At 40.1% G+C, this 15536-nt stretch overlaps 2 protein-coding genes across 4 annotated transcripts in view, besides 1 other annotated feature; both read right to left on the reverse strand.

Annotated features, from left to right (window-relative positions):
• Positions 2879-15536, reverse strand: part of ST20-MTHFS (ST20-MTHFS readthrough) — a 79546-nt gene continuing 66888 nt past the window's right edge. Inside the window, exon 4 of the mRNA NM_001199760.2 lies at positions 2879-4774. Coding sequence (NP_001186689.1) covers positions 4542-4774 — 233 coding nt within the window. The 3' untranslated portion in view covers positions 2879-4541. The remainder of the gene's footprint in view (positions 4775-15536) is intronic.
• Positions 2879-15536, reverse strand: part of MTHFS (methenyltetrahydrofolate synthetase) — a 53739-nt gene continuing 41081 nt past the window's right edge. For all 3 annotated transcript variants that reach the window (NR_037654.2, NM_001199758.1, NM_006441.4), the window contains exon 3: positions 2879-4774. Coding sequence is in view for 2 of the 3 variants with exons in the window: in NM_001199758.1 (NP_001186687.1) it covers positions 4542-4774 (233 nt within the window). In the remaining variant the exon portion in view is untranslated. The remainder of the gene's footprint in view (positions 4775-15536) is intronic.
• Positions 13039-13540: an enhancer, noted in NCBI's record as "H3K27ac hESC enhancer chr15:80146049-80146550 (GRCh37/hg19 assembly coordinates)". NCBI's record gives its function as "activates a minimal SCP1, AML or CMV promoter by ChIP-STARR-seq in primed H9 embryonic stem cells {active_cell/tissue: H9 hESC(primed)}" and the evidence as "EXISTENCE:reporter gene assay evidence [ECO:0000049][PMID:30033119]".

The raw sequence follows: 15536 nt of genomic DNA on the forward strand, positions 1-15536 counted from the left end.
GTGGCGGGCACCTGTAGTCCCAGCTACTTGGGAGGCTGAGGCAGGAGAATCGCTTGAACCTGGGAGGCGAAGGCTGCAGTGAGCCGAGATCACGCCACTGCACTCCAGCTGGGGTTGGGGGGGTTGGACACAGAAAGATTCTTGTCTCAAAAAAAACAAGCTGTAAACTCAAATATGAGTTTTATGTGTATTTTTCGCACAAAGAGCAAGTATGCCACATTTCTGACCTTTCTGAGATTGTAAATGGCCACTAGTAAACTTCAAAGAAATAAATACATCTCATTTGAATTTTCAGAGTGAAAGTTATAGTTCATCACTGAGACACAAAGGAACTACTTTCAGAGACTTGTAGTATGAAGAGTGCATATAAAAATGGCTATTTGGAAATATTTTCATCATTATATGACTATGTTGCCAAAAACTATTAATAGTGTGACACCTACAAACACTTTCACATCTACACAACTGAAAAATTTGTAAGCAGAATTTTTCTAACTTGATTTAAAATCTTTGAAAGAATTTCAGTAAGCTTCGAACCTACTTGTTTTTTATGTTTTTGTTGTTGTTGTTGTTGTTGTTGTTGTTAGAGACGGGGTCTTGCTCTGTCACCCAGGCTGGACTTCAGTGCCGCAATCATAGCTCACTGTAACCTCGAACTCCAGCCCCTACTTTTTAACAAAGTAAATGTGTAGCACCTTCTGATTAACATGCAAAAATGACAGATTCACATCAAGAAAATGGATATTTACCAGCCAGATTTAAATTAAAAAAAAATTATCTTTGCAAAATTGGTAAATAGGATTGAAAATTTTAGTAGGTATAGTTTTCCTTCCATCTGAATCTGCTTCTCTAGAAGGTATCCTTTTCAGCTCTAACAGCCCTTAAGACCAAATATTGAAATAAACTGAAATTAGAACCAGAATTTTGAATCATTCAAAAGGTGTTAAAATAAGGTTTTCAAAAATAGTAAATGTCCAAAAGATTTCATTTAAAAAATATTGCTTTTTTAAAAAGTCCATTATAAATTATATATAACATATTCTACTTCAACATCATCTCATGCTGCTCTTGATCATATTGCTCTTTTTAAAAATGAGTATATTACACTTATTTATATATGTATAAAATATATATAAACAAGTATATTATAAATTATATATCATATATTCTATTTCAACATTATCTCATACTTCTTGTGTGTATATTTTATAATGTGTATGTTATTACTCAGAAAAATTTATTATTACTTTAAGCATATAAATAAACATATTTGGGGGTAGGTGCTTACAGGGATTGGCAACTACCATTAAAGGGCAGGAGGTCTACAATCATCCAGGAATAGGGAAGAAGACAACCCTAAAAAGCAAACAAGAGAGCACTAAGAAGGAAAAGTAGCACAGAAAGACAATGTGACACACACACATGGACTGCCCAACACAACGCAATGCAGTAATAGAAAACTTGTTCTGGGATAATCCAAGCCTGAGACAATGCTAAGGGGACAGAATCTCAGCAGCAAACAGCAACCAACATAAAAATGAGCAAGTGCACAGCACAGGCAGGGCAATATTCAAACTGGTTCATTCCTTCATCAAGAATTGATTGGCTCTTAGGCATTCCTGAAGAAGAATTAGGAAGGAGGCTTACCCTCATAGCCATCAAGACTTAAAACTATGAGAACTAAAGCAATGTGGGGCTGGTGCTGAGACAGAAAAACATAACAAAGGGACAATGAAGTAAGCCAGCAAACAGATTCACATATATTGGAGAACTTAATCTATAACAGACATAAAGTTACATATTCAATAAATGTTGCTGGAACAACTAAAAAAAGAATTTATTGGCTCTTTATTTTTTGTGTCTGTGGTAGATACTGGAATAAACTATGAACTTGGCAGAGAATTTGCCTTTGAGGAGATTGTAGGGTAGTGGAGAAATTAAGCATGTAAACATATGACTAAAGAGCAGTGTGATCAACTGAATTTCAATGATCTCTGCAGGAAAAAAAAAAAAAAATTGGGACCAGGAACTGTCTGCAGCAAGACACTCACGCCTAGTCACATTTATCAATCTCCTAGTTAGTAAGACTTTGTGATTAAGTGTATAATGCTCTTGACTAGAACTTTATATAGTTTACTTTCTAATTAAATTAAGCACAGTTCTATAGTACATACAGCAAACACAGACCTATGTTGGGGCCCTGATATATTTCCAATTTCCCAATATTTGAAATTGTTTTTGTGCAGATCTAGTTGCTATTTCTCTTCTACTCAGATTGTCCCCTCATCTGAGACGCTCATCATTCTTGCTTCATGTTAGCCTCTACTGAAGTGCTTGCCTCCTGAGTCTAAGGCCTTGTCTTCAGCCTCTGTGTATGCCCTAATCAGAGTTACAGTGTTGTAATCACCTACATCATAGGGGCATTTTCTCCCTTCCAATATCCCTGCACAAAGACTACTGTGCATTAGTGATCACTAGGGAGTGCTTCTCTTTTCAGGCCGAGATCCTGTGGCCCTCTGACTTTCCTGAATCTCAGCACCCTGCATTTTCTGGCCAGTTAACTCGGCATTCTGTCTGCACTTGAGGAGCTGGTAGAGTGGTTTTTAAATGCTCTCATTTAACAGAAGAATAACATAGACTAAGTTCAACAATGCCAAACTTTCTAGACCTGCAGCAGGTCAGGAATTTTACTGCTCTACCATTTCACACCAACAGTCATGTCAGCTACATTAACATTCACTTTAACCTTATAGTCGAAATAATACTTAACAATATTTTTAACCAGTACAATAATGTGACTTCATAGCTTCTGAGAATTCAGTTTCCTTCCCTTTCCTCATCATACATATTATATTGTACAAACCCATATTCAGCCTGATATTTTTCAAATGTTTTTACTTTTGTACATAAAACATCAAATTTATGCTACTATCCAAAGAATAATGGATGAGTATTTTGAATGAAACACTTCCAATGTATTCAATTATTTCATTAAAAAATTCTCTCTCTCACACACACACTATATGTCTAGTTGTGTACTAAGCATAAGAAGTATAAAGATCACTTCTTTTCTTTGGAGCTCACAGTATGGTGAAGGGGACAGATATGACAACAAATAATTTGATACGTAAGACAACATGATAAGCACATCAATGGCCAAGGCCACTCAGACAAGGGAAGGAACACTCACTCTGCTTGGGAAAGTAGCAGAAGACTTCACAGAAGAGGTGATGCTAGGGCTGAGTCTTCAAGGGAAAACAGTCTTCTAGATGAACAACAGAAAGAGCATTTCAGACAGAGAGAAATGCATGCTTACTATGTGCAAAGGGCAGAAGCCTGCAGTGCTCAGTCAGTGTTACAGGAGAATACAGAGTTGGGAGAGAAGAGGCTAGAAAAAGTAGATGAGGAGACCTCTCTTAAGGGGCTTTGTATACAACAGAAGCCATCTGTTTGCTACCCAAGAGGCTCTGAACAGCCACCGGAAGACCTTAGTCAGGGGTGCTGCATGATTAGATTCGTGTTTTCTAAGATCAGTTTGACTGCAGCTTGAGAAATAAACTGGAAGAGGCAAGATGGAAGCCAAGGGAAGCAGGTGTGACACTCTCGCCTAGTCCAGCTTAGAAATGCTAAAAGGCTGGACAAAAGGAGTGACAGGAAAATTGAAAGGAGAGAATAGATTTAAGAGGCATTTCAGAGGCAAAATCAACAAGACCTGGTGACAGGATGGACATGGAGTGTGAGTAAGAGAGCCACGTGACTCCCGGGTTTCTGGAGATGACCAAATCCTCCCCACAACAAAATTATTGCTCCCTAGCTGTGTTGCCATCTGCCAACTTTCAACTCACAGCAAATTTCATTTCCAAAGCAGAAACCATGAGTAAACAGAAATAATTTCTAACTTATAAGATACTAGATCTTAAACTCATCAAGGGCTGATACATGCAGTGATGGTAACCAATCAGTGGAGTAAAAGTATTTAAATCATAAAAGGTTTCCCTCCACTAACCACCAAAAGCTACAAAGTGTCCAACATAAAATTCTAGAGTGGGTAAAGGAAGTCATGATGAAGTGAGATAATATTCTTAGGGAATTCTGTATCCAAAGCAAATACCAACAAATAAATTAATAGTCCCCAAGTCTCCATGTGCCTGCCAGGACAGACCAGGTCATGAAAGGCGTAATGAAATACAGTGCCCACTCCCGCAAGTTTACCTTCCTCTCGCACTCAGTCGGAGCACAGTTCCTCATAAATATTTAACTTAAATTGCAAAGTAGACAGATCAACTTGTCACATTAACACCAGGAAGTTAAGCTGAAAATCACAGGCTGATAGCCTCCATTTTAATTAATATTCTACTATTCACACTTCTATTGGTTTTTAAAGATGGTTTTATATAAGGTATTTCATAATTACAATTTTAAAATGCAGTCTGTATTCACATTAATGAACAATTTCAACTAATTTTTGACAAGGGAAAAATACACATACTTTGCTTTACTCTCATATAAAACACTGATTATTTGGCTGTAGTAATCCAGATTTAAGCTGTTGACGAGTCTTCGTAAAGGACTTCATCTACCTTCATGTCGTTTTCATTCACTGGGACCTGGAGGCAAATCTGTTCTTTGAAAGCCAACGCCAGGGTGTAGGGCTTCACTTCCTGATGCTGCAAACAGCGCTTCAGATAGGCATCATAGTAGCCCTTGCCCCTCCCCAGTCGGTTGCCATGTTTGTCAAACCCAAGGCCTGGCATGAAGATGAGATCAAGTCCCCCTGCGGAAAAGAGGAACAAATTTAAGAGGATTAATTGTTTCTGAAAGATCATTTCAGGATGTGTTTTTTGTTTTGTAATGACATCAATTCTTTCTCTGATTTCTAAAAACAATGTGTGACCATTAATATCCAAAAAGCACAGAGTTGGACAAAAAAGGAAATAAAACGTACTCAGCAACTTAGTTAAGTCTCTTATTCATCCTCAACAGATCTTTTACATATATCTGTACAAAAGTGCCAGATTCCCAGGCCTCATTCATAACTAGTTAAATACAGAGAATCTCCAGAGATAGGGCCCTCTTTTTTCTAGCATCCTGGTGATTCTCCATACCTGTCAGGTTTGGAAATCAATACCCCAGGATAATGACAGTTGGAGGGCGGGAAACAGTCAAGGAGGAGCCATAAAGGACAAAGCTGTTTCTCAGGGTCAGTGAGCAGAAAGAGAGTCCACTGTCAGGCATACCAAGCAGTTCAGACAGCCTACTCCCTCCTCATTTCCCCTCCCATTGGAGAGGCAAGGCCAGGCTGCCGGGCTTCCCCAGACTCGTGTGAGAGCAGGCTTTGACCTACTCAAGGAAAGGTACAAGATGGGGACCCACAACTAGTTCTCTGGCTACAACCCTCTCAAGTAACACGAAGACCAGAACTGGCTATGACATTATCAGGACAGAATGCTGGAGCTCAGGGTGGGAGGCAGGGTCCTGGAGGCTATAAAAACCCAACTGCAGTAAGGGTGTGTGGGGATTCCCATGAAGATGGCAATGAAGGTCACTAGGTGAAGAACCTCCATGAGGGAATGGTACTCCAGCCTCTGGCAAGAAACATGGGGTACCAGTGTCAGCATAAGAGCCACATTACATGTCAAACCCAGTAGTCTGCCCTGTAGCCTCCTTATACTGAGTCTTGGCCTCCTGACAGCTGTCCTGGGGGTTTCTGGGTGACCTATAGCTTAGTTGTGGAATAACCATTCATATAGCATTTGCTGGCAAGATATACCAGGGTTGGAAGCCATGAATTCTCCAGAACAGCATGTTCAGAGTAGAGAGGATCAGACTGCCAACATGGCTAGCCCCCACTATCAGCAGATATTCTGACTACCTGCAGAACTGTGAGGTGAACTCAGCTTCTCTCTAGCTCCCAGCATACACCTGGTCACCCCTGCCTGCCAAAATCCAGCAAAGCATGCCTCAGATTACAGTAATGACCTTCCCCTGTAAACCTCCTTGTCTATTCCAATCCCAACTTTCTAAAAAGGTCCTGGTCACTGACCTCTGTCTTTCCTCCCTGTTCCTGTCCAGCTCATTTGTCCCTCTTGGGATTGACAGTGGACTGTGAATTTGGACTTTACTCCCTCGTGTCCTCTTTCTGTTGCCAGAGCACCATCAGGCTTGAAGTTCAGTTCTGTCTTCTATACCTAGAACACACAATGCGCAAACCTTTCTAAGGATTCCTGCCTCTTTACAGTATGGCAAGGTGCTCTGTAAGGTCCTCTGGAGGACACACAGTCTCTTCCCTTCATGAAATGGCAGTTCAGTTAGTACAAAATATAACCGCATGTAATTTCCATTCCAATGCACGGCAGCAGTCTCTGCCAAATGCCCCAAAAGCAACAGGGACAAATACTAGAGACCCCAGCAGGGGGAGAGCAAACGCTGGGTGGTCAGGGAAGAATTCATGGAAAACTCAACTTGACCTGGATTTTTAAGATGTGTCAGAGTTGGGTCTAAGTATCTTTCAGAAACCAAAAGAAAGGTGGCAAGAGCTGAGTGAGGGAGTAGGGAGTGGGGAGCAGTTTACTCGCTTGGACAGAAGGATCAACCTGAGGAGTAGCAGAAGACATGAGTGTAGAGTTCACCAGGTACAGGCATGGAGATTTGGGGTCAAAGGCACAGAGACCCCCTAGAACACAACAGCAAAAAACCAAATAACCCAATTAAAAACTGGGCAAAAGACTTAAACAGGATGGGCACGGTGGCTCATGCTTGCAATCCCAGCACTTTGGGAGGCAGAGGCGGGCGGATCATGAGGTCAGAAGACAGAGATCATCCTGGCTAACATGGTGAAATCCCGTCTCTACTAAAAATACAAAATATTAGCCAGGCATGGTGGAGGGCGCCTGTAGTCCCAGCTACTCGGGAGGCTGAGACAGGAGAATGGTGTGAACCCGGGAGGTGGAGCTATTGCGCCACTGCACTCCAGCCTGGGCGACAGAGTGAGACTCCGTCTCAAAAAAAAAAAAAAAAAAAAAGACTTAAACAGACATTTGTCCAAAGAAGACATACAAATGGCCAACAGGCATATGAAAATATACTCAACATCACTGATCATCAGGGAAATACAAATCAAAACTTCAATGAAATACCACCCCACATTCATGAGGATGTCCAATATCCAAAAAATAGAAAACCACAAATGTTGGCAAGGATGTGGAGAAATCAGAACCCTTGTACACTGCTGGTGGGGGTGTAAAATAATGCAGCCATTAAAGAAAAGAGTATATGGGTTCCTCAACAAATTAAAAGTAGAACTACCATATGGCCCAGCAATCCCACTTCTGGGTATTTATCCAAAAGGATTGAAGTCAGGGTCTTAAAGAGATATTTGCACTCCCACGTTCATTGCACCATTATTCCCAAGTGCCAAGATATGGAAACAAGTATGCATCGATGGATGAACGAACAAACCAAATGTGGTACATACATTCAATGAATATTATTCAGCCATATCAAAGAAGGAAATTCTGCAATATGCAACCCATGGATAAGCCTGGAAGATATTATGCCAAGTGAAATAAGTCAGCCACAAAAAGACAAATACTTTATGATGCCACTTACATGTGGTATCTAGAGTAGTCAAAATCTTAGGAACAGAATGTAGAATGATGGTTACCAGGCGCAGGAGAAAGGGGGAGACAGAGAGTTGCCATTCAATGGATACAGAGTTTCATTCATGGAAGATGAAAAAGTTCTAGAGATCTGCTGTACAACTGTGCTTACAGTTAACAATACTTTCCCAGACACTTACAACTTTTAGGAGGGTAGATCTCACATTATATGTTATTTACCACAATAAAAAATTTAAAAAAGCAAAGAGACCAAAAGAGAAGCCAAGAGAATAGTCAGGATTCCCACCAGATACAATACACAAGAAAGAAAAGGCAGAAGTTTGGAACATCCACATTTAGGTAGTTGGAGGAAAAGAATGAAGAAATGAAACAGAGATAAGAAAACAACGTTCTCAAATCCCTTGAGCGAGAGTTAATCTACTCCCTCTTTTCTTGTTACTCCCTGTACTTTGATCACAGCTCTCACTGAAGTCTACCTTGTACCACAGTTGATGGTACACGTCTCTGTCTCCCTCACTGGACAGAAAATTTCTTTGAGGGCCATAATTTTTCCAATTCCTCTTTCATCCTTGGATTTTAATAGAATTTTAGGCCAAAGAAACCCTGAAAAATGAATATTTTGCCTGCAGAATGGATCAATCCTAGCATGACATCCTCTATTTTAATAATTCCGAAGTACATAAATTTGGCTCAAAGAGGCAAAAAAATAAAATAAAATAATAAAAATATAACTTTGTATGGCTGCTTTTTCAAAATGAGTTTTACACTTGAGAAGCAAGACGAGAATGGTTTTGGATTCCCAGGTAACTAAGGCTCGGAAACAGCCCTTCCTAGGTGGAGGTCCTTACATCGTACATGCGGTGTTGTTGTTGTAGCCCTGCCCACAGAACTGTTCCTGCTGCTCCCTTCAACCACGGGGATCACAGGTTGCTCCTGGCCTCAGGTCCTTAAGATATACTTCCTAGTCTTCTCCCACTTCTGCTACTTGTTAAATCCAAGTGTTTTCCCTGAAACACATCATGTATTCTTTGCTTGACTTTATTTGTTGTCATCCTTGAAGCTCTTCCTGTGCCTTACCACCATCCCCACATGCATCACCCACCCCACACACACCCCTGGGGCTCCTCACACTTTGGGAACACTATGCTGGATGTTTTTCCTCCTCAAAGGTGACAGCTCAGTGGGGCTTAAAAATCATGCAGAGGCTCAACAAGCTTCCCTCACACACACTGGTCCCACTAATAGAGGTAGACACCAGAGACACCTTCACACACCACAAGGTCAGAATTCAATAGGGGAGACAGAAGAAAAACCTTAGTCCGTGCACAGTTCTGCATATGCCTCTGGCATTGCTCTGTTTTCAAATCGCCAAAGACTCATTAATAGCGTCCACTGACAGTGCAATGTGCAAGAGCCAACCTGCTCTGATTTTAATCCTGTGTGCACTTGCTTCACATTCTGTGTTAGTGGGCACAGAGCTCTCTAGATGTCATAAGATTGTTCTGCAGAGTCATGGTTTGTTGAGTGTTTTTCTCCAGGCTTCGCTACCTTTCCAATGTGATCTTGCATTCCAAAACTACAAAGCTAACCTTTGGAAAACTCACCCAACCCCACATACTGCATTTATTTGCTCAAAAACATCTTCCGTCTTTTCATTTGGTGCTGGCTCTGAAACAGCAGTGCCCTCTGGAGGCAGTCTGATGTGGTGATTAGGGGCATGGGCCCTCAGGCTATTTCTTAGCTGTGTGATCATAGGAAAGCTACTGCAATCTCTGTGCTTCCATTTGTTTTCTCATCCGTAAAATGGAGCTGGTCATGAAAACTGTATTAGATAATGCAACATATCTGTTCACAACAATTGTATTTATTAGGATACCTTTCTATTTTTTTAAAAAGAAATCTCAGGCACTATTTCTTGAACCAGGTAGCAGGGAAAGGGGTATAGTTTCTCCAATATTTCAAGTATTTTTTGACCAGAGCTTTTACAATCTTACCTTAGAACTGGCTCTTACATGTTCTCTCAGCAAAGGGGTTCAGCAGAGCCAAAAAAAGAGGAAGAAAACCAGGGGAGAATGAGGTTATAGAATGCAGATTAGCACATTTTTCCTACAAAAGACCAGAGAGTAAATAATTTAGGCTTTGCAGGCCTTAGGGTCTCTGTTAGAACATAACTCTGCTGTGTAGTATGAAAGCAGCCAAAGACAAATGTAAATGAATGAGTGTGGCTGTGTCCTGATAACATGTTATTTACAAAAACAGGTGGAGGGCCAGATTTGGCCTGTGGGGCTGCAATGTGATAACCCCCATCATAGAACATAAGGAAAGAGAGTTTCAGGGAGAGAGAAGTAGACGCAGTGTCAAATGTGGCAGAATGGACAAGTAAGGTAAGGACACAAAAATATCTATTAGATTTGGCAACTAGGGAATCACCGGGGCAAGGATAATATAAGTGGAGAGATGGGGACAGATGCTGAGCTGCAGAATCTTCGTTGACCAGGAAAAAAGCCTAGGTAGTAGGCCTCGAAAAAAAATGAAGAAGTAAGATTCTATAAATGCCTCTACTTCCTGAGACAGAAGTATTAGGCTCTGAGGATTCAGTTCACCGTACAAAACATTCTTATTAATTCTGGCAGCGAGGTAGCCTGGGCCCCTGACACCTCCTAAGATGTCCTGAACTCAGACTCCCTGTCCTGAGCTTTTCAGAATATAATCAGTTCAGCTAGTGGACTGTCTTTACTGTAATACTGAAAAGAAGGCTGAAAATAAGTGTTAGAGCCCAAGAGGTATGTGGGCACCTTCCTATCTGCACACCTTTGCTCCTGCGACATTGTTTTTCATTCCTGTAAGGGTTTTCTACTCTTTTTGTTAACTTATTTATCATAACAATCATAATATCACAAATCTTAAACTTCCATTGAGTCCTCCCAGTCCATGCAGTTTGGTGTGACCAGCTCTTATCCTATACTGTAAGAATGCCTGTGGTCCATTAAGTAGTAGGAATCCTTCTCCCTTCCTTCTAGGAACAGAGCTTTTGTCTTTCCCCAGAGAATTTGAGCTCAGTTCTGTTTACCGTGAAAAAAAGAATGACAGTGAAGGATATAAGGGATATAATGAGTAGTCCCCTTGCTGTATTTATTTTAGCTTCCTGACTATATCCAAGGAGTGACTTGTTCAGATTATCCTGTGAGATACCTAACTCTTAACCAAAGTCCTGCTTCTAGAAGAGAAGGAGAGCACAGAAACTAACATTTGTAAAGCGCCTACGATGTGTCAGCCAAGATGCCATATCCTGGAAAGAGAAGGATGAATAAAACCAGCTGGTCAGTACATCTACCTAGGGAGGCAGGAGGGTGGGAACTATTATCCCCATTTCACAAAAGAATAAACTGATGCTCAGAGAGGTCAAATTACTCCCTAAAGTCATTCAACTCATAAGAGACTCAGCTCATAAGAGGTGAAGCTGAGGGCTTGCTGTTCCAGATGGATAATATACATGGTTCCTATTACCAAAAGATACAAATGAGATTAAGTAAAGGTATGGAGGAAACACAACAAGGCCAAGCATCTTAGAGGTAGTACAGGAGAGGGGTTAAGTGTGTAGGATTCTAGACAGGCTGCCTGGGTCTGAATCCAGCACTACCACTTATTAGCTATGAAACATCATCAAAATTACCTTCACCTAAAATCTAGAATGGATAAGCATATTATGATGTAAAGAGTCTCTAAGCTATTAATACCAAATGTCAACTTAATCAACTGCTGCATGCCTACTCCTCAGGCCACGTGGCTGATTACAGAGAGACACAGGTACTTCCATCAAACATGCTTCTAAAACATGAAGAAGCTGAAATCCTAAAATAAAATACAGAACCAATAATTCATGATAGCTCTTGAGGCAGAACTGTCAAAAATCAATACCATATGTTTTGAACTCATTATGATTGCCTTAGAAAGAACAGACTGAAGCACAACCTCCTTGAATCACTCTTCATATAAAACAGTACAGCACATACAAGGCAATAAACAAAACCATTTACATGACTGCAGTAATAAAATATATTCAACTTCTGATTATATACAAAAATTGGGTTTTTAAAAAACATGGTTCCCTGCAAATCTATAACATACTTAAGGAGGAGTTAACTGAGCCACCTATTATTATAGACTGTTAATTTTTAAAAATTACATTGTAAACATACCTTCACTCTTTCTGCTATGAATGGTCACAACCTATTTTGGCCATCTGGGAATATTCACACTGAATCAAACACACCGTAGTGAGAATCATCTATTAAAGACATGACCACCATAATTGATCACTTCTGCATTCTTACTATAAAATTCTTTCTTTTAACACAGATACTAACATTTGCACCAGAATACAGCGACCATATTTGTCACAAAAGCATTAGAAATAAGTACCAACACCATGTAAGGTGGCCCTTCTCCTAGTATCCCTGGATGACACGGGTCATTCTGCTAATCAGTTACTGAGGTATTCAGAATATAAGACAATCTGTGTGCATCTTATATTTAAAACCCAAGTGTATTATGGGTTCAAGGCTTTCACTCAATCTTATGAACACTATGTGTTTAAATGAAGGAAGCAGGAGGTGACAGGAATTTAGACTCTTCTAAGTAAAGCTGAAAAAGCTAATAAGAAATGTGGATAATATTTAGTGACTTGGCTGCTGAAGATCTCACAGCAGCACTTTCCTCCTACCTAATCCAAAGAGCCTAGAAAAATATCAAGGACAAGAGGCCAGGAGTCAAGATAAAATGGGTTATAGAAACCAATCCTTCTACCCATAATACAGGTTCACCCCTATAAGGATATCTCAGGAAGGATACGAAAGAAGAGTGGCTACCTCTGAAACAAAGTATTAAAGAACAGGAGACTTGGATGAGAAGACTATTTTACACTTTCATAGTACTCTTCTATATGGTTTACATTTTTATCATGTGCATATGGAACCAAATTTTAAAAAATATCATCCTTATATTTTTTAAACACAAACATCAAGGACAAGAGCCTTGGAGGCAGTCCTGCACAGCAGTTATCTGTGCAGGCTTTTACAGAGACTGCCCAGGTTTGAATCCCATAACAACCATTACTAGCTAAGAAACATTAGTAAAGTTACTGAAATTCTCTTTGAAACCCAATTTCTTCTTCAGATAAAAATAATGCTATTTTAGAGGGACTAAATAAAGGAGATAAAACTCTAGTAAGTGTTCAATAAATTCTAGCTGTATTATACTTGGGGATATGAATAATGCCTATCCTCCTTCTGTTGACTCTGAAAGTTATTTCTTGAGTCATAATACTAACACTACAAGAGCTATCATGCAGATTTCCTATCAGCCCAAACCATGTGCAAGGGTGGGCCTAGCTCTCTACTGCCACCTCCTGTCAGCTAGAAACATGCAGAGCGGTCCGTAAGAAACTGCTCAAGCCTTAGGCAGAGCAGGAGCCGTGATGGCTCACTGAAATACAGTCTCCGAAACACGTGTGATAGGAAAGCATTCCTCTGTTAGAAATAGCCTTTCTCTTTAAAAGGCTCCTTTGAGGTGTATCTGTTTACAAACCAAGAAAAATGAAGTTGCTCTTTTATAATTTCTTTCAGCACATTCAGCTGTGTGCTAGACACTGTGCTAAGCTCTTTGCAAACATGACTTAATTTAATCTTCCCAACAAGATGATGTAATTTGCCCAAAGTCATACAGCTAGGAAATGCAGGCCTGGGAATGTGAATGGTAGTGTAGCTCTAGTGAAGTGTGGAAGCTCTTTGTTCTTTCCCTACGAAATTAAAGCAGACAGGGAGAGCGCTGCTTATTTGCCTTGGTGGTGGAATCAGTCAAACTGGATGCAGCGTCTGTACCAGTCAGGTCAGGGCCATGGTGAGGGACAGAAGGCACACTCAAACTAGGGAAACTAGAAAAGATTAATAAAGAGATGGAGATGCTTAGAGAAAGCAAGAGAGATGGTACAGTCCCTGGGGTAGCTGACTGTACCAACAACTTGGCCTGAAGGTGCAAGGGGAAGGGCTGGGGAGGGCATGGTTATAAGAACCCGCATAGCTGCGATGAGAAGGCTGCCTGACTGGAGTGTGGATGTGCACTGGGGGCGAGGGGTAACACCCTGCAGCCTCTGGTCTTCATTGCTGCCTGCTGATGTAGTCCACAGAGGCTGGTCTTCCTTGCCACTAAGCAAGTAGAAAAGATAGACAGTGGATCTAGAGGTGGCCAACCAAAATCACCTAGCAAAAGACCAAAATATGGTTATTATCAGTGGTTACTCCTGGCTTGGAGATTTGGGCTTATTTTTAATTTATTCTTTATGTCTTATCTTTATAAGAACAAAGCTATTTTCCTTTAGAAAAAAATATTTTTAACAATATGCAGAAAAATTTCCAGTCTTCTTTTTGAAGAGGTACTTCAAACATGCTATTTTCTTAAGTATGTTTTTTATATCTTAAGCCTACTACGTTGTCTAGAAAATAACTCTAAAATCATGTCAACAGATAATAGTAATTTGATTTACATTATTTTCTTAATCAACATCATCATCACCATCACCATAAACAACTACAATTGTATATGAAAGAAGCAAGCTAGGTTGCTGCAGACTGAAAAGTGGGAATGGTGTCCCAATACTTTACCACTGGGGTTTGCAAACTATAGCCTGCAAGTCAAATCTGGTCCACTGTATGATTTTGTACATAAAGTTTCAATAGGACACAGCCATGCTCTGTCTTCACACTAAAACAGCAGAATTGAATCACTGCAACAGACACTGTATGGACTACAAAGCCCCAGATATTTACTATCTGGCCCTCTGCAGAAAAAGCACCCTGCCAATCCCTACTTTACAGCTTCTGCCATAAGGTTTTTAACAAAAAAAAATCTATACATCAGCTTATCCTATCTTAGCAGATACTGACAAAAATAAAACTTACTGGAAAAAAATATAATTTAAACTCTCTTTACTGCAGATATGTAAAAATGCTCTGCAGAAAATAGGATCCACATCAGCAGTAGCTTAATATAAATGGCATTTCTAAATATTATATTTATTTGGCATCTGAGTTGTTGATAATCAGATGGACCTAAAAATGAAACAGAGAAGACATTAGAACTTCCTATTATTTTTCACTAACTGTAGGCAACCTCTGCTTGTCTGATTTTACTCATCTGTAAAATGGGTGGATGGAACTTTTCAATAACTTTTTTATTAACTTTCATTTTAGGTTCAGGGGTACATGTGCAGGTTTGTTATACAAGTAAACTCATGTCACAGGGGTTTGGTGTACAGATTATTTCATCACCCAGGTACTAAGTATAGTACCCAATAGGTACTTTTTCTGATCCTTTCCCTTCTCCCACTCCCCATCCTCAAGGAGGCCTCAGTGTCTGCTGTTCCCCTCTTTCTTCCATGTGTTCTCATCATTTAGCTCCCACTTATAAGTGAGAACACGCAGTATTTGGTTTTCTGTTCTTCTGTTGGTTTGCTTAGGATAATACCCTCCAGCTCCAACCATGTTGCCGCAAAGGACATGATCTCACTCTTTTTTATAACTGCATAATATTCTATAGTATATATGTACCATATTTTCTTTATTCAGTCCACTATTGATGGGCATTTAGGCTGATTCCATGTCTTTGCTATTATGAATAGTCCTGCAATGAACATATGTGAGTATGTGTCTTTATGGTTGAACGATTTATATTCCTTTGAGTATAGACTCAATACTGGGATTGCTGGGTCGAATGGTAATTCTGTCTTTAGTTCTTTGTGGGATCATCACGTTGCTTCCCACAATGGCTGAACTAATTTACACTTCCACCAGCAATGCATAAGCGTTCCCTTTTCTCCACAATCTCACCAGCATTTGTTATTTTTTGACTTTTTACCAATAG

Source organism: Homo sapiens, chromosome 15 (assembly GCF_000001405.40).
Source record: "Homo sapiens chromosome 15, GRCh38.p14 Primary Assembly".
Taxonomy (NCBI): Eukaryota; Metazoa; Chordata; class Mammalia; order Primates; family Hominidae; genus Homo; species Homo sapiens.